Source organism: Homo sapiens, chromosome 1 (genome assembly GCF_000001405.40).
Source record: "Homo sapiens chromosome 1, GRCh38.p14 Primary Assembly".
NCBI lineage: Eukaryota > Metazoa > Chordata > Mammalia > Primates > Hominidae > Homo > Homo sapiens.
In genome coordinates, this window is record NC_000001.11 from 98,952,621 (window position 1) to 98,977,656 (window position 25,036).

Genomic DNA, 25,036 nt, shown 5'->3' on the forward strand with positions numbered 1-25,036 from the left:
ATGAAGATATAGTTGCCTGTAATAATAGTGCTTTCTAGAAAAAAAGAGTGTCCCTTTCATCCCCAGCAGGGACTATGAGAGCTTGGGTAGGCAGCTAAGAGGCCTAGGTAGTTCTCTTCATCGTGCTATTACAAGTTCATGGGGAATGCTACAACAAATTTGTTTCCACTAAGTCCTGTTTAATATAAAGACAAACATATTCTCAAATAGAAATGCTAATGGCTACATTTTTTAATACAACCAACTACCCACACATAATCTCATGAGAGTCAACTGACTTAATTTTGTTCAGAGTACAAACAGCTATTATTAAAAATAGATTAAATGGCCTACAGAAAGATATGAATGTGCTTTAAGTGACTTTCATTATGGCAGAGAAAAAGAATTTCTACATTGGAAAAATTAACAATAATACAGACTAAGACAACAAATTTATAATCCTTACTTACGGTCAGATACATAGCTGCATAGACACTGAGAGCTGCTTCTTTGGATGGAAAGGTTTTTCGGGCTCTCATGATGAGATCTGGGTTGCCAGTACAGGCCTCTTCCCCACTGATGAATTGTGTATACTGCTGACATCCAAGTGCTGTATAATTGGGCTTACACAGGGCAAGGAAATGTGGGGCCAGATTTCCTGTGACTACTTGTCCAGCATTTACAAAGATATCTGTAGCAAACAGTCCAAATGTATAAATTCCTGGGGAAGAAAACAAATAATTTTAACTTCTTGCTTGTGTGTGTGTGTGTGTGTGTGTGTGTGTGTGTGTGTGTGAATTTCAGTTTACAATAAACCAAAATGGAAATATTTTAGAAACTATAAAATATTCCATGCATATACATAGTTCCTTTTATTTCATCCCTCTCCAGTTCTTTCCTTGGCTTTCTGGAGTGGTGAAAGTGGTAAATATTGCTCTGTCTACTACTGGTTTTTGGGCATGGCAGGTTTATAAGACATAAGATAAAATAAGAACATGTATTCTCAGACTCCGGGTAATGCAATTGTTCATGGAGTCATGTGTTCCTTGAGAGGGTATAGTCTATCATGCTCTACTAATGTTAGCAATTTCCTTTTTTCCCCCATTTTTTGAAAATTTTTTTATCTCACTAACGAAGCAAAGCAGTTGTCTCTCTTTGATTATGCTGTTACTCCCATTCAGACTGATGTTAACGCTGCTGGAGGTGCCAATTAGCAGTAAATCCAGTACCATCAGTTTTCATTTAAATATGGAAAATCTTAAGTAAACCAGAATGCTTTCAGAGTAATCTCTACATTGCCTTCAGAAACACATTTTTTTTAAAGTCATAGAACAGCTAGTAATTTATTTCCACCTTATCTTATATGGACTGGCTTCCAATTGATCCAATGTGGGCTATTTAGTAAACAAGGCAATCAAAATTATAGGTTATTAATGATTTTTACAGTTTTAAAATTTATTTGCTTTGGTTACCTGAAGGTATAGAACTAAGTGTGTAGATATTTTTTCCTCCTTTGCTAAGGAACTTGCCAATTTACTTGAATACCAAAAACATTTTCTAAATTCAAAGTCATTGGTTATTATTGTTAAAACTTATTTTTCTATTATACGGGCAAAATAATTTTTGGCATTAATTTCAATTAAACTTAGAGCTACAATCTTCAAGGATGTGGTACCAATGAAAGGAAATTCATCCTTTTATAATTTTGGGAATAAAATCCAACAGGACCTTTTAAAACTATCCCAAAGTAATACTTCTAAAAGTACTGATTTATTAAAATGTCATATACTTAGGTTACAATAGTTAGATGTTTTTCTTTTTAGTCATATATTTCTGGATTATTTGTTTCCCAAGCCTTTTCATCATTATTGGCTGTTGTATAGTATATCACCATAAAAGTTGTACCAGATCAAATAATTTTCCAGTATTAGATGCATAGCTGTTCTTTTAAATTTTTGAAATATTATATAAGATTACAAAAAGTTTACATACAAAAACCCCCACACAGCAAAACTCTATGTGTACACAAATGGGAATGAAACAAAGATATTAGTTCACTCTTTATCTAAAAAGCAAACAGTAAGAAGCCCTTTCTTAACATCTCACCAGCATTGTTTGAATCATACAAAGTAAAGGTTATCAAAATCAGAAATTTGAAAGAGGAAGAGAAATTAAAGAGAACTGAGCTCAATAAAACTTCTTCCAAAATCTCCTGGCCAAGCATGGGAACCTAAATCACAAGTCTTCTTCATTTGTACACCTTTGAAATCTAGGCTGTTTGGTGTAACGGGTTTTCCTGTTTATAACAGAGAGAAATATTTGATAAGAATGTGGAAATGTCTCTTGACACTTTAAAGTTCCCAAATGTGTTTGGAATTAAAATGTCAGTGCATCAGCCCAAGGCTAATACTGTAGTTGACTACAAAGAAAATTATTAAAGTGAGATCCTGTAAGTGTATCTACACTTACCTAAAGTGCTTACCTAAAGTAAGCACTGACCTAAAGAATAAAGTCACTATACAGAATGATGTACTATTATACAGTGATGCTTCGCTTACATGCTTCCACTTATTACAGCTAGAAACATCCAAACCATAAGGGAACAAGAAACAAATGGGCTTTCATATTTTATAAAATCATATAAGAAGAAGCATGCAGAGACTTAAAAGCATACTGTACTTTGAGCCAAATATTCTTTAGAAATATGTGTGCAAATGCAGAAAAATATTTTACTTAAATAGGTACAATGTAATTTGCTTAACAGTATTTAGGAAAGCATCAATTTCTTTAAATAGTTTTAATTCTAAGCATATTGTTGCATATTGCTTTTTTTATTAAATGACTTATACAAAAAGAAATTAGTCAAGAACACAGTATTGATACATGTGAAAAAATAACTTTTAAGGTTTCATATAAAAGTTGTCCCTTCAACAGGATAAATGAGGGCTTTGGAGATACATAACTTGATGTCAGTAAAAATAACAATCTTGGATATGAAGGCCTTTCGTCTTCAGAGAGATCCAAAAGCCTGATAACATTTGGCTAGTCTTTAATGGGTTTATAGATAGATTAGGTGATCTATGCATAATATCTTCAAAGTCTTCATCCTGAATCCTTCAATATGAGAAATATGTGGAAGAGTTCCCTTCAATATGAGAACTATGTTGAAGAGTTACATTATCTTTAGTGCATCTCTTAATACTAATAAAAATTTATCTTAAATGGCATTTAGCATATACACTTATTTTTATCTGATAAATCCAGGAAACAATTATTTATATTAAATTGTATTGCGTCAGTTAAAAAATGGGTCTAGGCTAAGTCCTGAATTAAAATGATTTTCAATAATTCATTCATGCATATATTTATTATTGCTAGTATTTGAGATTGAAAGTTAAATTATTAGTGAATCTTGTCCTCTAATAAAATCCCCAATACTTTTTTGTTTATATAAAAATCAACTTAGAAGTAGTGCATGGAGTGCTACATTTCTTCTATTTTCCAAGTTGTTTTTCTTATCCTTCGTGATGTTCGACAACCTACCTGGATTATCACCACCCTCCCACTAAGTACCGTTCAAAGATTTTCATAAACACAGTAATCACGTAATTTTTGGCTCTTAAAGAATATTAAACATCCAAAGGTGGTGTTCTTTTTTCCTTAAAAGAATGTGGAAATGACATCCTAAAGTGGGATCTTGCTATATTAAAGAGAAGGTAGTATGTAATGTTTATTTTTAAATTTTTTAATTTATTTTTTATTTCAGTAGATTTTAGGGGAACAGGTGGTGTTTGGTTACATGAGTAAGTTCTTTAGTGGTGATGTCTGCGATTTTGATACAACCATCACCCAAGCAGTGTGTAATGTTTATTTTTAAAAGCAAATTGAAACATTTCAAAGAAAAAAACCCCTAATATTTGCAAACAGTTAACATGTGGGTTATTTTAAGGTTTAGCTTACACATAGACACTGTTTCAGAAATATTAAAAATAATTTAATGAACACATACCAAGAAATCGGACAGTTCGGCGCACCAGCGGGTTTATATAGCAACAGTCTCCAGTTAAAATAGTTTTTTCCTGGTTTTCAAAATCCCTTGTGGCTAGTTGTAGGCAAAAGACAGCAGTTTCTCCAACTATTATCTTGAAAGAAAATAAAAGATTAAGGAATATTAGAATTTAACCAGTATAAATGTAAAATATTTTTATTTTAAAAATGTAAAATGGAGCCCCTTTGAATGGTAATAATCTCAATGTAAAACAGAGCCATAATCGATTTCCTAGATCCTTTGATTATAGCCTTGTCCGTATGTATGTAAACCATATTTTTCTCAACCCAAATGTCCAACAATGATAGACTGGATTAAGAAAATGTGGCACATATACACCATGGAATACTATGCAGCCATAAAAAATGATGAGTTCATGTCCTTTGTAGGGACATGGATGAAATTGGAAATCATCATTCTCAGTAAACTATCGCAAGAACAAAAAACCAAACACCACATATTCTCACTCATAGGTGGGAAGTGAACAATGAGAACACATGGACACAGGAAGGGGAACATCACACTCTGGGGACTGTTGTGGGGTTGGGGGAGGGGGGAGGGATAGCATTGGGAGATATACCTAATGCTAGATGACGAGTTAGTGGGAGCAGCGCACCAGCATGGCACATGTATACATATGTAACTAACCTGCACATTGTGCACATGTGCCCTAAAACTTAAAGTATAATAATAATAAATAAATAAATAAAAAGAAAAATTATGAACAAAAATAGACAACATTTTTGTTTCCTAAAAGTCTTAATTAAAAAAATAAAATATACAAAAGATATGTAAGGAAGCACTCATTTATTTTTATGTGTAATTAAATTCCATGTTTTATTTTTTTAAGTTACTGTGTCTTATTTAATTTTGACTCTGCTACAGAATTCACAACAGATTCTCCATGCAAATATTTTTAAGGCATCTGATACACACATACTAATTTAAAATCATATTAATACTTTTATAAATAAGAAAAAATAAATCTGCACACCTTTGACTTTGAGAGCCTCCTGTTCTGAGACATTACTAGGAATTGTCATAATATACTACTTATACTTTAGTATAAATGTTATTTTGATCTTCATTAAAACCATATGAAACTAGGAATAGCATCCTACCCTTTTACAAGTAAAGAAACACCAAGACTTGGAACACAAGTGAGTTGCCCAAGAACAAGGTTCTGTTACAGATGCTTTGCTCTACTCTGTTGACTTATTAAAGGACCTGGCTATCTTACAACCATATTTGTACCATTGGTAGTGATTTTTATACATGGTCCTCAAAATCACCTAGTAAGGTATTACAGGAAGTATTAATATTCCATTTTACAAATGAGGAAATGGAGATTTAGGGAAGTTAAATAATGTGTTCTTTTTAAGGCCAGTCAGAAGCCAAGAAGAAATTTCTCTCTAATACTATGAACAACAGCATGAGAAATAAGATTAAAAGAAACTGGAGCTAACAGTGTGTCTACTAATTTGTCATTGTGAAGTTTGCTTTTATTATGTCTTGTCAAGCTTAATTAACATGCTATACAGGGAGTCCCTGACATTCCCTGGGGAAATGCTTTTGGGATCTCTATGAAAAGTAGTATCTATGATTACAAGATATTCAAAATAGAAAGTGTGAGGTAGAGAAGGAGGTTACAGGAGATTAGGTGTTTGACCTACTTTTACCCCAGTGTGAATAAAAGATTATGAGATACCTCTTCACTTTCATCCTTCTTTCTACCCCCTTTTCCTCTTTCTTTTTTTAACTATACTTTTTTTTCAAGTAAGCCAGGGTTCAATGTTAAATCAGAAGACATTGAGTGGAACTAAATTAAAAGAGACTAGTCTTGCCTATTTGGTGAGAGTGGATTGAGTTGGGAGAGATAAGAACTTCCAACTTCCTCCTGAATTTTAACTCTGGCATTGGTGAAGTAGAGCGGATGTGTGATGAAACAGTTCATCCAGCCAAAGGATGCACAAGAATTATTTTTCATGAGTATCTGGAGAATCTGATAAGTAGATGAACTGTGTGTTTGATACCTTATCTCTCTTTCTGAATAACGTTTTTCTCATGTCCTACCTCCTCTTCAGTGCACCTTGAAAGAGATTACCATGATGATGCTTTCTGGGTTTTCAGATTCAACTTCTTCTGGGTCTGTTTTACCACAGAATGTTTCAAATTCTAACAATGCATCATCCACTCCACTTCATGAGCTGACCGGCTCTGCACATGATGGCTGCCCTCTCAGCCTCCTCTTCTCCACTGCAGCTTCCACGGGGTCTCCATCCCCTGGCAGGCCCCAACCCATGGTACACTGCACCCCAACTCAGGCTACCATGCTAAACTCCCTAGAATGTAGTAGGTACCCAATAATTCTTATTTAATGCATAAAGGAATCACATTTTCAAAAAACCGTCAGCTTCAATAGATCAGAATGTCCTAGTCTGCTATTAATCTTTTGCCTGACTTCTAAAAACCAACTTCTGGCTTGTTCCTATGATGAAGGATCTATCCTGTACCTAGTTCCTAAAACTGGAGCCTGTATATGAAGTCCCTGACTTGATAATTCTTTTTAGTTACCAGGGTCTTAACAGACCAAGAACTGCCTTGCTGGGGCCACTTTTCCCGGGGCTCTCTTCCCAGTGGCTTTCTAATGCTGACCTCTTGCTTGCCTGCATCTCAGCACATTTCACCTTGCGGAATTTCCGATTTGTGTCCTGAGCATTTCTGCCAGAACAGTTTCTCAGTCACTGTCATTTGGCTGCTACTATAAGAAACCCACTTGAACTATGTTAACTAAAATAGTAAGTTTATTCTACAGTTAGTTTCCTCAGAATTGAAGGGCAGGGAGCTTGGGGATTAGGCCCATGAATGGAAAGTCCTCAGGAATCCAGGCAACAGCTGTCACCATTTCATTCTCCCTCTTTCCCTGGAGTCATACTGTCTTTCATCTCAGTTTCTCTTTGTATGCCTTTCTGCCAGCCAGTGCTCCTGATTCCGAGCATACATGATTTCCCCAGTTGTCTTCAAGAAGCTTATCTTGAATTTGTCAGCTCGGTCCAAGGAAACAGTTCAACTGATAAGATTTTCCAAACCTCAATTCCAAATTCCCAGGAGGTTTAGGTTGAGATAAGGCATCTCCCTCAGTCCGATGAGCCAAGGTTAAGAAGGTATGTTATGGTACATGAAAATGTCACTGTGGGTAGAGAAGGTAGTTTTCAAACAGAGAGTTGCTGTCATTAGACGCCGATGTCAAATGCCTGTCCATCACATCTTGCTGGACCCTCCGGCCAGTTCTTGGTCTAGACTAGCTCTTTCCAGCATGTTCTCTGGATACTGTATTCTGTCCACCTACTTGGACTTCATCTCATCAAATGCATATGCCTAGGTGTCTGCTTTCCTCCAAGGGTATGTCTAATTCACACACCCTAGTTCTGTTTCCCCCACAGCTCACTGTGATATCCATGGAACCCCTCATCAAAACCATATTCTCTCTTAACTTCCCCCACCCAACTTCCTGAGTTAAAACTCCAATTGTTTACTGCTCTCAGATAATAATAATAATTATTATTATTATTTTGAGATGAAGTCTCACTCTGTCACCCAGGCTGGAGTGCAGTGGCGCACTCTTGGCTCACTGCAACCTCCTCCTTCCAGGTTCAAGCAATTCTCCTGTCTCAGCCTCCCAAGTAGGTGGGACTATAGGCACATGCCACCACACCAGGTTAATTTTTGTATTTTTAGTAGAGATGGGGTTTCACCATGTTGGCCAGGCTGGTCTCGAATTCCTCACCTCAGGTGATCCACCCGCGTCTGCCTCCCGACGTGCTAGGATTACAGGCACGAGCTACCGTGCCCAGCCTGCTCTCAGATAAATTCAAATAATGAAAATAAAATAATTATAATTATGATGAATGTATTTATGTAAATGCCTTCTGAGTTAAGGGCACAGTGCTAGACACTAATGTTTGAAGAAAGGTTTATAATCTAACAGGGTAGACACAAGCAAATTGATTAATAATGCTACAAGGTTGCATAGGCTGAGCTTTATTTGACTGGTTTGGACAATACATGCTAGGAGAACACTTAGGAAGAAGTGTCACTGAGTCACTGAGAGAATCTGTGGTGGCAATGAAACACATCACTCAAATCTCCCACTGCAGAGATGTTTACACACAGATGGCCCCGGCTGCTGCGCTCCTCTGGATCCAATACTGTATCCATGCTGAGGCCACACTTCTACAGGCTCCTCCTAGCCAATGACTAAGCATGGTGGGAGTGAACCTAATCTTCTGAAACATGGGATACCTCCAATTTGCAATTTTGGTTCAAAGATTCTCCATGAGCCTGACCAAATCCTTGTTGGAGCCATGTTTCCTATACAATCCCACTACCCCAATGAGACTACCTAACCTAGTCTGAAGTGTTTCCCACCCAGTCTTCCTTCTTTCTCCCTCTCACGCACAGGGGACAGACCTCCATCACAGTCTGAAGGCTCTCCTTGCTGTCTCTGGCTTACCCCTCAACTTCTGTTTTTCACAGATGTTTTTTCTAACAACTCTTGTACTTCTAATCTCACTTGATAATTGCTTCTAGGAGAATATAAACATACACAGCATCAAAGATAGGGTGCAATCCTTACTACACTTAAAGCTTGTTATTAGATAAATATACAGAATTCAAAAACAACTCCAACTAGAACGCATTTGGAGAGGAGGAGGTAACCTTTTTCCTATTAGCTCTCAGCTTGACCTCAACAGAGGCTAAAGTAGATTGAGTTTGCCTTGAAGGCAGAGGCACAGTAGGTAGCACTTGGTAAATGTTAACCACTGTCATAACTGTTGAAAAAATTATTGGCAACAAGAGCATCATTAACAATAGCAATGTCGCTATTAAAGCCAATGGCATTAGTAAACAGTCTAATATATATGTAATTGTATGCAGTTTATATTTCCATTAATAATTGATATTCATATCTATTCTTTCTTCCTAAGCTTAGCACAGTACTAGGCACAAAGTAGGGAATTTTCATTTTCTACTGCCCTATATGTCTGTCCTTATGGCTAATTTAATACCAGGTCATATTGACTCTAAGGTATATATTTCTCTTTTTCCTCTTGATTTTGAATCAGAGGCTCTCGTCAGTGAGTTACAGACCTAAGTTCTATATTATCTGGCATTTTATTTTGGCTCTCTTTTCCTGACAGAAGCTCTCCCTGGTGGACTTCATTCCTCCTAAGACTTTACCATCCCCTGCTCCACTAAGGAATCCTAAATCTGCATATTTCCCCTAAACCCCAGATGCAGGTCTCCATCCACCTATTAAACAGTGACATCTCAACATGCTCATATCTACCTATTGGAAGGCCACACAGCCTTTACATCCAAAATAAAATCCATGTGTTCCTCCTGCTCTTCTGTGTCACCATCTCAATTAATCCATTCAATTTCTACTTGGACTCAAGCTAAAACTCTCATACATTTACATATCATGCTGACACCTCCAGTTCCTTCATTTGTCTCTTTTCATCAATTGCTTTTATTTATATTATTTTTAATTGACACAAAATTATATATATTTATGGTGTGCAACATAATGTTGTGAAATATGTGAATTATGTAATGGTTAAATCAAGCTATTTAACATATGCATTACCTCACATAATTAGCATTTTTTGTGGTGAAAACACTTAGAATCTACTCTGTTAACAATTTTTAAGTATACACTACATTCTTATTAACTATAGTCACCATGTTGCACAAGAGATCTTATTCCTTCTAACTGAATCTCCATCAATTGCTAAATCCTGTTGATTATATATCTTAATTCTATTTCAAATAAGACCACTTTTATCACTACCTCCATTTTAAAATCCAGTCCCTCTTCACTTTTTTCCTGCATTAAAGCATACTCAGAACTTGCCTTTGTGCTTCCATTTTCTCTGCTCTTCAAACTGTTACTGTCAGATTGGTTTATTGAAAGCAAATTTTGTATAATCCAAATTTTCTTTTCTTTTTCTGGAGACAGGGTCTCCCTCTGTCACCCAGGCTGGAGTGCAGGGGTGCAGTTATGGCTCACTGCAACCTTAAATTCCTGGACTCAAGCCATCCTCCCACCTCAGCCTCCTGGGTAGCTAAGACTAACTACTAGAGGCATGTGCCACCATGCCCAATTAATTTCTTTTATTTTTTATTTTTAGTTTTTGTAGAGAGATCAGGTCTTGCTATGTTGCCGGTCTTGAACTCCTGGCCTGAAGCGACCCTCCCAAAGCACTGGGATTACAGGCATGAGCCACCACACCCAGCCCCACATTTTCTATTTACAATTTTCAGTGTGTCCTCATAGCTTGTGGATTAACTAAAATTTCATAAGAGATCATTTACTGCTGAGCCTAAACCTATCTTTTACAGCTTCAGCAATTCCTACATAGCCTTCAGACACTCTGTGCTCTAGTCACAGCTAAGCATTTTCATTCTCCAACATATCCAGTATTTCCATACATCCAGGTTTTTATGCTTGGTCCATGGCTTAGTATATCTTGGTAGGCAGTGCATGGTTCTGTGCTTGAGACATGATTTACATATTGCCTATTCTATTGCAACTTTATTCTATTCCTGGTGCAGTTCATCATTCCCTTCTCTGTGTTCCAATGGCACGTTGTACATTTATTATGATAATTTGCATATGCGTTTATAAGTATCAGTAACATCTGTGTCTTCCACTCAGTTGAGAGCCTCTCTGAGGTAAGGATTGCATAACATTTATCTTTAAACTTCTACTATTATAGCACAGTGACTGACAATAAATATGAATACTGTATGAATGAAGAGAATGCAGTTCAATCTTCCCATCTCCATAGATAAGGAAACCTCCAGAGAGAGACAGAGAGAGAGAGAGATTGAACATGCCTGAGTCACATGGTAACCGGCACAGCCAGAGTCTGAATCCAAGTTCAGAGTTTTATTTTGACCACAGCCTCTGCCTGGGAACTTGTGAGCCTCTCCTCCAGCTTTTCCAAGTTAAGATAGGTCAGTCCCTGCTGCCCACTTACAGGTCACACCCTGGAGTCCTACCACATTCCTAGCATCTCTACAGTTTCAAAAGATAGGAGATAGGGCACAAAGCACCTCATAAGGACCTCTGGACTCCTCTGCTGTCCAGGTATAAGAAAGCCGAGTATAGAAAAAAAGATTTTCCTGATCCTATTAACACACAAGCCAGTCTTCCAACAAATACCAAAAACATTCACATCACCCTTTCTAACTCCATTGCAATTTTTTGAGACACTCTTTTCACTGAAATGTCTTCATGTCTTCTTTGCATATCCTTGGTTCTTAGGTGCCATTGAGGATCTGGTGTTTTGGTCGTTTTCTCACCTTTATCAAGAAGGGGTTCTTAATTCTGGAATCACGCGCTACCATTTTCACTAGATTCCCAAAGCATCCCTGGGGCAACGAGCATAACTGGTTTGCTTTCCCCGCTGGGAGTGGAAAATATGAGATTTCCAGGTCACAGAAGCCAGAGATGGAGATGCTAAAAGCTTTGTCACTTCACAGTTTTCTTTGATAAAACTTCCTTTCTTCTGTGAACCAACCAATGAAAGCTGTTTCTAGACAGAGTTGAGATGATGAACAGTGTTAACTGAGATCGACTGAGAAGCAGCAGGGCCCCTCCTGCCTCCCACAGGCACCAGCTGTCTATAGAGGAGGAGAAAGAAGCAGAACCTTGGGAAGGACACCTGTGGTCCCAGTGGGAAGGATCAACGGGCCTCCCATGGATCAGCCTTTCACGGAGGTACTCCTCCCCCACCTCAGCAAAAACTCTCCATTGCTTGGGACATGAAAGAAAAAGGAGGGAAAAAAGGACTCTGCTGGTAGACAGAGGGCAGGCTGGCACAGTAAGTGCAGAGCTGTCAACCCTTACCTCGTTTCTCTTACATCTGCCTTCCAGCTCCCCTCATCTGGGCTCACTAAACTCAACCCATCCCTACTCCTACTCTGCCAAGAGAGGCAAAGCACCTGTCTGTTCCCAGTTGTACAGGAAGCCCTCAAACAACCTCCAAGGAAGATTAGTGACTGTTCATAGTCCTTATCAATCTGATATAGAATGTGATGAGATGCCCACCAAGGGCTCAGAAACTAATACTGAAGGGCTTTCACTGCTTTATTTATTTATTTTGGAAGCAGGATCTTGTTCTGTTGCCCAGGGTGGAGTGCCATGGTGCAATCACAGCTCACTGCAGCCTCGACCTCCTGGACTCAATCCTCCTGCCTCAGCCTCCTGAGTAGATGAGACTACAGGCATGTGCAACCATGCCCAGTTAATTTTTGATTTTTTTTTTTTTTTTTTTGGTAGAGATGGGATTTCATCATGTTGCCCAGGCTGGTCTTGAATTCTTGGGCTTATGCAGTCCGCCCGCCTCAGCCTCCCAAAGTGCTGGGATTACAGGCATGAACCACTGCACCTGGCCTCACTACTTTATCTATGCACTCAGAGCTGGGTCTGAGCAATTGTGGTGTTTCTTAGTCACAGTCCCCTCCCTATTGCAATCTGACAGTTTACCTCATTGGGAGGAAGAGATCTGCTCCTGAACCCCAACCTGATAGAAGCCTTGCACCCCACTGACAGACCTTCTCAAACTTGAGTATCACATTCCTTATTACACCTCATCCCCTTGCTGGACATTACATTATGCTTTATTAATCCCAGTGTTGAACACTATGAAGCTCCTCGAATCTTGCCCTGCCTAACAAGCTGGATCTACACACTGTCTGCTCCTTCCTAATGACGCAACTAAGTCTCCATCATGTCTTTGAGGACAGGTCTGGTATCTAGCCCTTTTTTTTATTTTAATCAATTACCGTCTTTGGTAATGAGTAAAAAGCCCCATTCTGCTGATGAATAGCAACCTACAAGAATGCAGGTGTGAATCATAAATGTCTCCAGGATGTGCACATCACTTTGTTCTCATACCTCAACCTTTGTTATGCATAGTCCAACTTTGTGATCTACAGTCCTTGATGACAAAATACTGAAGTTTTACTAGGAAGAGAAAATCGCTGTAGATTTTCATCAAATGTCAAACTCCAAATAGCTCTATGTTTTCATTTATAAGCACACAATTAGAAATTCCTCTCCCCTCTAACTGGTGGTAACTCAAAGATATCCATGCATCATTGATTTGAAATTGGTACAAGAAAACCATTTCAGATGTAATGCAGTGAAACAGAAGTTATGTAATCAGTGTGATAGTATTTGGCATGTGTTTCACATCCTTCAGAGATGTGTGAAATAATATCCAAAAAGCAAAATGAATCCACAGAAGTACAGTCATGGGACACACCTAAACTTTAAACTCTGAATGTGTGAATCCAGTGAAATGTGGGGTTTTATTTGTTACAGAAACTGGAACTTGCTAATTTCCCTGTTTTTAAAAAGAGAGAGAGCAAGTATCAGTCTCAGGGTCTTTTCCAGAAAACAATGCCTGGCTAGAATTTTTAAAACAATGTAGGCTTTTTTGTATTTATTTTATGGTTCCCTTCTACTTACCAAGTGATACTGGTTTTCCATTTGTAGTAATAATAGAATGTATTCTTTTATAATAATTTGTTAGTAAAGTGAACTGATTTCAAGAAAAAATGAATGCTAGCTGAGTTGGTATGCAGCTATGATTTAAGTCATGAAGGTGATGTCCTGAGAGGAAAATTTGGGAAACATTTAACATATAATAAAAGCTCATTTACACTGTTCATGTAAATAGGGCTTAGGTTTTAGGCACTGTTCTAAGTGCTTTCCAAATATTGGCCAATTTAATTTTCAAAGCAATCTGATGAGGTAGATGCTATTATTAAAATCCAGTTACAGAAGAAGAAAATAAAGAATAAAGTAACCTATATATGTTACTAGCCGTGGTTATAATTGTGGGGATGTGGCAACCAGGAAGCCCTAATATTCTGGGGAGAGGACAGTTAAGGGAAGTGGAGGGACAAAGGCCGCTTTGATGGAAGGATATGAGGTCAAGAATTGGATTTGATCCTTTGAGTTGCGGATCTGAACCTTTGAGTTAAGATTCGCAGTCTTTAGGAGACCCCTGTTAAAATGCAGATACCAGAGGATAAGAAACACATGAAGCTGCCATCCCACCCACTGGGTGGGATGAGCTTATTAACTCACTTTTCAACTGGGAAAGATATATGTCTATTTTGAGAGCTCTACAGACAGTAGCTCTCAAATGTGGTCCCTGAACCAACAGTATCAGCAATCTGGGAACTTGACAGAAATGCACATTCTCGGGCCCCACCCCTACTGACTCAAGAACTCTGGGGGTGGGGGTCTGGCCATCTGTGTTTCAACAAGTTCTCTAAGCTCTATAAGATATTTCAAGGTGTCTAAAACTCCTTTTTATTACATTGTAAATTTGTCAAGATTATGTTAAAAGGGATTTTTAGATACTGATTCAAACAAATAATTATTATGTACTTGTACTGTGCAAAGAGCTATTCTAGGTATTGCAATAAAAGGATGGGACTATAGAAAGAGAGGTTAAATAAATCCTAAAGTAAAAACAAATCCAACACTCTCACTTTCTAGATATTTTAAGTGAAATATGAAGAGATGAACTGTCCTGAGAAGGATGGCTCACTTAACCAATGCTCAGCACCCAGGAAGGCCACTCACATCCTCTGCGAGTCTACTGCATGGCTCACTATGTTTAAAATGGGGAGGCCATCAAAGAAACTTACAACTTAGCTTGCACTTATTTATGCATGCATGTGCCAGTACAGACACATGTAAAAATACTAGTAAATAAATGAAGAAGGGATGAGATTAGGGGTAAGTGATAACTGACAACTGAGTGTGCAACTCACCAAAACTTGCACAAAAAGAAACTCAGTGCCCCTTTTTGAAACAATCTGGCAGAAAGTTATCCAATCTTTTTCAGCCTCTTATTAGCTGAATGATCTTAATTAATTAATTAATTAAGTCATATAACTTCCCTTCACCTCAATGTTATCATACAAAATGGAAACAATAGAAATAATGCCATCATGGGGCTGTTGTGAGGTTATTGTTATAACATTCATAGAAATGAGGTTATTGTTATAACATTCATAGTAAAGGGGCTGGCACAGAGTAAGCACTACGTAAATTTTAGTCATTATTAGGTAGCCCTGAAGGCTCTTTCTAAGTCGTATCTGCGATGGATTAGTGTTTTTGGTAAGGGAGTAAAGGAGTCTGGGATGCCTAGAATAGGGTAATAGAGTTGTTTGATCATTTGGGATAAAGTAAAAGTCCTGACACTAATCTTTCACTGCACATGTAGATGAGGGTCAGTGGGAAGATACAGAAAAAGGAGATTCAGTTTGCTGAACAAGAACACCAAGATTCACAAGCTACGAGCATTCTTTTTAAATGACAAAAAGCTGGTGAAACCATTAACAAACACTTCCCTAGCAAAAACAAATGCTGCTGATTAAACTTTACATGATGTTTATGCTTTGCCAAACCACTCACATAAAGGTAGCAAACATAAGCTCTAAGGAAAATGAATACACTCATGTTATATACTTATAGTTTGTTTTTAATTTTAATATATAAAGTCAATGTCTCCATGTTCACAGATCTACTGTTGGCCAGTACTGTTATAATGTACCTATCATTCCTCAAAAGAGCGAGCTTATAATTAATAAAAAATTAGTATGTGGGTTATTAGTAAGCTTTCCAGTTTTTCTAAAATACCCATTAGAATCATTTTCCCCTCTTCTTTATCAACAACAAAAAAGCAATATGATAAAATTTAAATACTCTCTGGGACTTAAAGATGATGGAGATTTTAGAAATAAACCTTTTAAGCACAAGCAAAATTTAACTGTCCCTAGGTCAATGTTTCTCAAATAATATTTATGTAGCAGGATGTTAAGTGATATTTTCTAGGAAAAAAAATTCTGGTGAAAAAACATCAGCTAAAACCTTACTTGTTCATCAACATTTATAAATTATATTACTTGGCACTGTATGCCTGTATCAAAATACTTCATGTACCCCATAAATATATAAATCTACTATGTACCCATAAAAGTGAAAAAAAAATTTAAAAAATGTAAAAAGATTCATAATTTCCAGCAGCCCCATGATGGCATCATTTTATTGTATTCAGCATATAGATAAGGACACAATGGCACAGAGAGATTATATGACTTGTGTAAGGTCATTAGCTACTAAGATACAAAGCCAGACCCAATCCCATGCAGTCTAGTTTTGGAGTTCAACTTGACATTATAATATTTGATTATTTTGCTTCATTTTAGGAAGAAAGGCCGAGTAGCTTAAGCTTTCTCGTATGAAATTCTGAATTTATGAGTATAGTTTCCTCCCAACTACTTTCCCTGTATGAACCAAAAGCATGACAATCTGTTAAAGAAAATTGTTAACTTTATTGTCCAGTGTTTTCCAAACTTATTTGAGCTTAGAAATATATATTCCAGGGACAATCCTAAATATCTGGTAGAGCTAGCATCTCAGAAACACTACAGGGAACACGCAAAAGTAAAAGTCTTCCTTTCTAGAGGACAGAAACTTAAATTTAGGAAAGATAGTCTAGTGTAGCTATTATATGACAGAGAAAAGAATTAGAGGTCTTCAGAAGGCAAAAGTAAAGCTGAGAAATGCTGTCTTTAGAAAGTGAAAAACTCATTCACCACTTCCCTGGTTATTAGAAAAAGAAGAGAGGGAAGTTTAAAATAAAAGAGAGCAAATATTAATTCACACAATGGGAGAGAAAAAATATGATTCTAAAAGGTAACCCAGGTAGGAAACTAAAAAGGCATTTAAGTAGAGTTTTGAGATTTATGCGCAGCAGAAGTGGCTAGGGGAGGATATAAGGATTTACCTGACCTTTTGGATCTATGGCTTAGAAAGAATGACATTCTTTTTCTTACAGTATGGAAGACCTATACTTTTCCTCACTGGACTTCCTTAGATTGTCTCTGACAACTGTATCTGGGGAGAATTATCAGGGACCTGAATCAGTGGGGTGGCTCTTTGCCAATGTCTGGTAGCAAACAGTAAATTCTACCTCTTTTTCTCCTTCCTTCCTTCCTTTCTTTCTTTTTGCTAGTTCAGAAAAAATCTATGTTGTCATATGGTTGAGATGTCTTCAGTTCCAAAGTACATGTTTCTGTTGTACAGTGGTCACCTGTAAGTGCCCTGCCACTGCATTCAGGGAATATATATTCAATTGACTAAACCGTGATACTCTGAGTAACACTCTCCTTTTCAAGAAAATAGGCTTTTGAGGTGACAGCTCTGCCTAAGAAAGCAGAAACAGTATTCCTTGCAATTTCAAATTCATCATACAGATCATTCCCTTGAGGCCATCTTCTTCTGGGTTTCTTGGCTTTCATCTCTCCCATCTTTAAACAGACTGCCAGAACAAATGTCTTTTAAGGCCACTCATTTTTACTGAAAAAGAACTAGACATTTGAAGGACTTTATTTTTAAAACACTTTCACAGGAAGAGTAAATGTTGATTACATAGGAAATCCTTATATTTTACCAAGCCATTAAAAATGTTTGATGAGAATACACAAAGAAAAGCATGATTGAAACCCAAAAATAAATGAATGAGTCTTGGAACATAAACTCATTTTGCAGTCTGGTCTCATTTGTGCTTGGGATAAATGCAGCTTTCCAGCTTACTGCTCACATGTACTAGGAAAAGGTGCAATTATAATTTAAATGTGAAACTCTAACAGCTTGGAATGGGTTGAATTTATTATGCAAGCCAATTTAAGGGTTTCTAATACACAATGGGAAATATATTTAGAAATCAGATTATTATTCCAAATGCCTTTAATTTCAGTTTATAATATATATGTATATTTATTATATAAATTCATAAATATATTCCCTTTCCTTGTCATTTTAAAAAGTGACAAACAGCATTTACCCTAGGCCAAGTACTGTTGTAAACATCTTACATATATTAACTTGACTTGGTCCTCACAACTCCCCTATGAGGTTGATATTATTACCTCATTTTACAGGTAAGGAAACTGAGGCACAAAGAGGTTAAGTAATTTTCCCAAGGTCTCACAGCTAGTAAATGACAGATCTGACAGTCTGACTTCAATTTTAATATTATATTCATCATAAGAGATTTTTGTAGGAATGGAGTCAAAGCACTTTATGAGATACATATTAACCTACTTTATCACTCAATGTCAAACTTGACATTATAATATTTTATTATTTTGTTTTATTTTAGGAAGAAAAGTTAAAACTTTTTATCTGAACTTCTGCACTTATCAGTATAATTTCTTCCAATAAGCTTTTCTGCATAAAGCGTAAAAAATGCTTGATAAACCAATAAGATGCTCTAATAAACAGTGACATTTATTCAAACGAGGAGTAGAGAACAAAGTGTGTATTGGTGGGCAGTGTGATGAGGCCTGGAATGTTCATTTCTGCAGTGTTTTCCCAGACTACTACATCTTATTTTTAGAAGCAGCCTGCTACTCCAAAATGTCTTTTGAAATATTGGTGATGGGGCAGTTTGGTGAGAGGTGAAGAAAATAACATGATTTCAGATAATATTAACAGGAAGTTCATTTATGAAAAATAAACTTTGGAGAAGAGTTACATATTCATATTACATCTCAAAGCAATAATGATTATATATTTATTTGCAGATGTTGCACAGCATAGCAGAAGCCCATAGAAGTGGTATGTAAGCTTTCCTATTGATTATAAATGTTAAGGAAAAAAAAAAGTATGACTACACTATCTCTTTCACATATAACTTACTCAGTTTTTATCTGATTTCCCCTCCCTTCAAGATTCAGATTAGCATTTCCATTTTTTTTGAACTCTGAGATAGGAATCCTTGACTTTTATACTTGTAAGGCAATCTATCCTATCCAGCCCCTTCATCCTTGTGAATATTTGTCCAAATGTCCAAATCATGCACAATCTTAGATTCTGCTTTTCTACTGAGTCCTATTGTGGGCTGCTAAAATATTGAGAGTCATCACATCCCAGCAGTTAGCATGAGTGTTGCTGAGAACATAAAATGCCAGCTGCAAGCCCCCTGGCACCAAGGTCTACAACTCTGAGCAGCAATGCCCAGTGAAATTTTTAGAAGCAGACTCTCTCTGTTCTGTTCTTTCCATTTCATTCAAAAACAGAATTAGTCTTTCTGACCCCTTCATTGTGATGAATATTTTCATGTTAAGAGTTCTCATGTTGACACAGAACAGGCAAGGCTCCCCCCATGGTCTCACCACTGGGACCATCTGTGTTTCTGACTGGTGACAACAATTCAGAGGCTTGAATGAGCCCCCATTTGCAGAATACATACTAACTTCTGTGCTACATTCTCCAGCTGCCACCTCTGACTTAACTATGGAGGATCATGAGTGGTGTTGGGCCCAAACGAACCCTCAATGAGAAGAAAGAATTCATAAAGGGTGTGAGAGGCAGGGATCCTCATTTAGCAGCCTCTCTTCCCAAGCTCCCCTTGGTACTATAAGACATTTCAAAATCACAATTTTTTAACCAATTGTTTGTCACATTTCACAGCTGGCAGATATCTGAGAATTCTGCAATCCAATACCAAATGGTGAATTTGCAATATATATTTGAAATTCTATGAACAAATACTTAGACATTGCCTCAAAAAGCAACAGAAAACAATTCTACTTAATGAGCAATTCTGAACACAGTTTGCTGGCCAGCAGTTTTAGATGGCTATTAAAATCTCAATCAAGTTTTCTTTCAAAATCTTAATTATAATCTCCCCGTATGAACTTAAGTAAAACAATATGAAAGTGAACCTGTTATGTGCAGTACTGATACTGTTTAAAGCCTATTTAACATCAGTTTTTATAATTTATGATACCATTAGAATATTGAGGTAAATCAAAATCCTTTACATTCTGAAGTCAAACTAAAGCTCTATTTAATAATTATTAATTGAACTTAAACTTATAAGTAGCAATGTTGTTGGCCTAATCAATGTTAATTATCTTTCCTTCTCAAACAGCCTTAATTTTGTTCAGTTACCAACCTTACTGAATGGCTATGATCTTCAGGGGAGTCAGGGCCATCTTTTGCCTCAAGTGATGAATGATTTGTCAGGTCCTGATGGCCCTGATCTGGGGCTAGTGTAGGCCTGGGCATGGCGTGAGATTCTGCCCAATGAAGCATGAAGAGACTTCTGGTAGGGATGGATGCTTCTGAAATAGGAGTTTATTTCTTTTAAAGGGACTCACAGAATACTTTTTTTAAAGCTAGACATCCTTATGTTTGGATGTGAAGTTTAGAAAAAGGGCAATCGTTGTGCAATCACGAGGGGAGTCAGCCCAGGGTAGAACAGACACATACTGTAGCAGAGTGGACAGAGAAGAGACACCTGGATCTTTGACCTATTGTTCAGATATTGAATTAGTCATTTCTGAGCCATCCTAACTTAACACTGCTTGTTATGTGACAGAATAAATTTTCCTAATTGTTTAAATATCTAAGTCCGAGTTTTCTGTTATTTGCAGATGAAAGCAATTTAATCGTTACAAAGACCCTGAACCTGTGAAGTACCATAGAAGATAAAATTTAAAATATACAAATAACTATCTATAAATACAAATAATTGCAATGCCATGTTGGTAAATGTAGGGATTGACAGTAGGAAGAGAATACCGTAAATGTAGGGATTGACAGTAGGAAGAGAATACCTTAAATTAGGGACAGTAGGATGGGGAGAGAGGAAGAAAGTCTTACAAAAGTTGATGTTTTCACATGGCACATGGCTTGAAAGGACAGGGTTATGTTGATCACAAGCAAAGCTAAACAGAGTGGACACTGGGAATAAGACTCAGAGAAGCAACAAGTGGAAGAGCTTTACAGGTAGGGCCATCATGTAATTTATCATTCAAACTACTATTTTTGAATGTGAAATGGGAGGATTAATAATATTAATACCAAGACAAAAGAAATAATCCAGAACTGACCCAGGGAAACCAGGACATAGGGTTGACACAATTATAGTGCAAAGAAGAATATAAATGGAGTCTCAGAGGAGGGGAAGTATAGAATGTACTTGAAGAACAGCAAGTGGGCCCACTTGGCTGGCATGCAGACTAGATACAGGGGCCTAATGGGACATTATCCTGGGACCATGATGTAAATGGTTTAAGATCCAAGTGAGGTGCCGGTACTTAATTTTGTTCACAGTGGGAGGCCATAAAATTTCTGGGCAGGGGAGGGGTGGGGTCAGACCTATGCTGCAGGAAAATCAATCCCGAAAAAGGCAGCGGAGACTGGAGAGAGGAGGTAGAAAGCCCAGGAAGCGTCTGGTGTAGTAAATCCTTTCCGGGTAGTGAACCATGCTTAAAGCCGCGGGAAAGCAAAAGGGCACATGCAAATAATGAGGAGAAAAGAGCAAAGGGAAAGGAAGGCTCCAAAGTCCATTTTTAGATCACTTACACTTGGGGAGTGGGCAATAAAGAGAAGCAAACAAAGGACACTGGGCAGAAGTGTCAGCAAGTAGAGAAGAAAATTATCATGCCATGAAAACCAGAGGGGACAGACTTTCAAGACAGGGGTCCTCGATCAGCCACATTCAGTGTCACAAAGAAGTAAGAGAAGTAAATGTTCAAGCAAGGAGGTTGTCATTGGTGACCTCTGAGAAAAAGCTTGACAGTAATGAAAGCACAAAACTTTTTCACATTGCCTTTGCCTTTCAGAAAACTTTGTTAGTTAAGTCAATGGAAGAATTCTCCACACACACAGCAAATCTGACATTATATGACCTGGCAATGGGTTTGACTTAAATGATGAAATCAATTAGGTGAGGAGTAGAAAATAGAAGAAACTCTGAAATGGATCACAGGTCCTTCATCCTGTTTCATTCTTAGCTCTGTCCCACCATCCCCACTCTCTTCACGAAGTCATAGGTGCTTAAATATATTTCTTTTCCCTTGCTCCCTAAACTCTCTCTGATCTCTGAAAACTCTGAACTGAGGCAGGAGAAAGTTATAGAGCTATAATCCAAGCTGTGATTCAGTATCAAGTCTCCTCTGCTAATTCAGGTTGTATATTCTGGCCTATATTTGATAACAAGATGTATGCATTATTCCTGAAATGCAATTTCTACTTTGTACCTGAATTCCATTAGCAGATCCCTATTCCTGAGTTTTCGCTTTGATCACTTACTTTGCACCTCAGTTGCTCTAAGGCTGGGACTGTCTGGGACTGTGATTCCTGTCTGTCTTACAGGCAGTGAAGTTTTGCTGCTAAACCCTATATGGTGGCTAAGGCACTGTTCTCTTACTTAGCAACAGGTTTTCTTAACACCCATCTGCTCCTAGATTCCTGGGAGCTATGTTCTACCCACCTACGAGGACATGTCACTGCTCCCCACAAGACCTCCCTGATGCAGCCTCTTTTGTAACTATTCCTTTCAGAGATCATGTTCTGTTGCAGGACCAGATGCCCAGAGAATCGTCAGGAGAGTCTACCCTTCTATGCCTTGACTGCGTCCGTGCCTCAAATGTTTCCACACCCTAGTTCTTGCTGACTTAATTCATCTCATTGGTTTATAGAGTAGGACTCTGCCTCACCCTGTCCTGATGCATAATAGGTTTTTGTGTCCAATCCCTTCTTTGCATAAAGTATTCAGGCATGTGGTAACACTTGTAAATTGGAACCAGAGGAAAACAGATTTTGCATTGTTCTCTTCCATTGACAGAAATCACGGCATGTGATTCATGTCCTTGGAGATGTACAGGAAGCAGGGAGAAGCACTGATCCATGCATACAGATGAAGCCTTTTGAGGTTTCAGCGGAATATTTGTTGCCAATATTTGCAGTACAAATAAAGTTGTCAACAGAAGTACAAATATAACCTACATGTTATTTGGAGATTGCAAAGCACTGACTTCTTTCAATATCTATCCTACCTGATCTGATGCCTCTGACAATTATGCATAAATACAGACATAAGCTTCCCCTGATAGGAGTATTTACCTGGAAAAAGGGTCGGCTGGGACCCATACACATGAACATACTTTGTACCTTTAAGAAAAGTCAAGGAAGAGGGGGACACTTCCCGATTTCCAGCAAATCGGGATATCTCGACCCAAGCTCTACCGAACCAACAAGGAATAAATAATATGTCCTGTTGAGGGTAGTGGTGAACAACATATGTTAATATTTGTAATCTTCTTGCACAATTTTCCCACTAATGTGAGATCGTTGAGGACTTCCTTTTCATTATTGGATCCCACGCCTAGCAAGCTGCCTGGCATGTAATATATATATACTAAGAGTTTATTAATGAATACATATGTTAAATGGACTGTGATAGAGTCAAGGCAGTTGTGGTTCCAGGGAATAGACAGGCCCTGCAATCTGTAAGGCACGTGCTGAAGATGAGATCATCCTACTAAAAAGTAAAAAAAAAAAAAAAAAAAAAAGCCTAAATGATGCCATGAATAACCTTTCTCAAACAACTTTTTTTTTAACATATAAAATGAGCTAACAAAAGGAAGAGGAGTTGGGGAGAGAATCCACACATAGTAATGAATCTTTTCCTCTCACAGTGAGATACATGAAAGGGAAATCTGTAATATGTCTTGATTCAAGTTTAAGCTTCAAAAATGTTCTAATATTTTCACATCCTTCTCTATGTCCTAACATTGATGAAAAAGTGTTTTTACAAAAAGGTGATGTAAAAATCATGTTTGAAACAGGTACTGTAAACCAAGCATTTGAGAAAATGGCTTTAAAAATCTATTCAGATATATCTTCTAAAGTACAGATCAAAATAGTGCATATCAATTCAATGGTATTTCCTAAACCCACAGAAAAAGTAGACTAGGAAACCACCAAGTTTCTTTAATTAGCCAGAAAAAAAATCTAGATCTGCCCTGTCTGATGAAACTGCCAATTGCCTTGAACACTTGGTGACTGAGCACCAGAAAGGTGGCTAATCCAGATTGAGGTGTGCTGTAAGTGCAAAATTCAGACTAGATTTCGAAGACTTAGTACAAAAACGATAACTTATTAATAAAAATAAAAAATAACTTATTAATAAGTGTGTATATTGATTACATGTTAGAATATTTTGCATATATAGAGTTAGTAAAATAAATTATCAAAATTAATTTCACCTATTTCTTTTTTAAAATGTGGCTACTAGAAAATTTAAAATATGGTTCACATTGTATTTCTATTGAGTATCGTGTGTCCAGATTCTCTTCTCATGTCCCCTGGCCCATCATAGCAGCAGATAATTGCTCCACAATAATAATTGCTCAATAGGTCCCAGGTTTAAAAAGAGCCAGAGTGGAGGAGACAGCTGCATAGGTATCATGGATATAGATTTTTGAGGCCTCTTTTGGCAGGCACATCTGATTGATATTCTAGTTGAAATATAAATATGAGCAGAACTTTTAGATAAATTTCATCTTGTTTCTTTATTCCAGTGACTTGGTCTTTAAAAGATAAAATGCCATATGATGGAGACTCCACCAGGCAACTGGGCATACATTTGTGGATGGATTAAATAAATACATGTGAAACTCTAGTGTATTCGATGGGCATTTTAATCAATTGTCCTAATATTTTTCATGTTCCTGAATTAGATGCAGCTTAAACATGTCAATCACATCTGAGGTCTAATCTGTAACAATTCATGATCCATTATTCCCATATATTCTGTAATAACTAAAACAAACAGATCACAATGGAGTCAACTCACAAAATTTGTTCCTTATTTTTTTCTCCCATCTTCCTGCCCCAAAGCAATGTTCTCATTGGTTCTATGAATGTATGCTAATATATCTAGAATTTCTAACCTGTTTTTCTTATTATGACTATTTGCTTTTGATCTAGGATGCTATGATGCTTAGATAATAAGCAAAAAAGACCATCATGTTTTTATTGACACAAGTTATTTGAAGGCAGCAAGTTCAATACATTCTTCCCTGTGAATGTATTGAACCTTATCTGGTTCC

At 37.3% G+C, this 25,036-nt stretch overlaps 1 protein-coding gene across 3 annotated transcripts in view; it reads right to left on the minus strand.

Moving 5' to 3' along the window:
• Nucleotides 1-25,036, minus strand: part of PLPPR5 (phospholipid phosphatase related 5) — a 115,542-nt gene that overhangs the window by 62,376 nt on the left and 28,130 nt on the right. For all 3 annotated transcript variants that reach the window (XM_011540838.4, NM_001010861.3, NM_001037317.2), the window contains 2 exons: nt 3,989-4,121; nt 450-700 (listed from right to left, as the gene is read on the minus strand). In XM_011540838.4, coding sequence (XP_011539140.1) covers nt 450-700; nt 3,989-4,121 — 384 coding nt within the window. The remainder of the gene's footprint in view (nt 1-449; nt 701-3,988; nt 4,122-25,036) is intronic.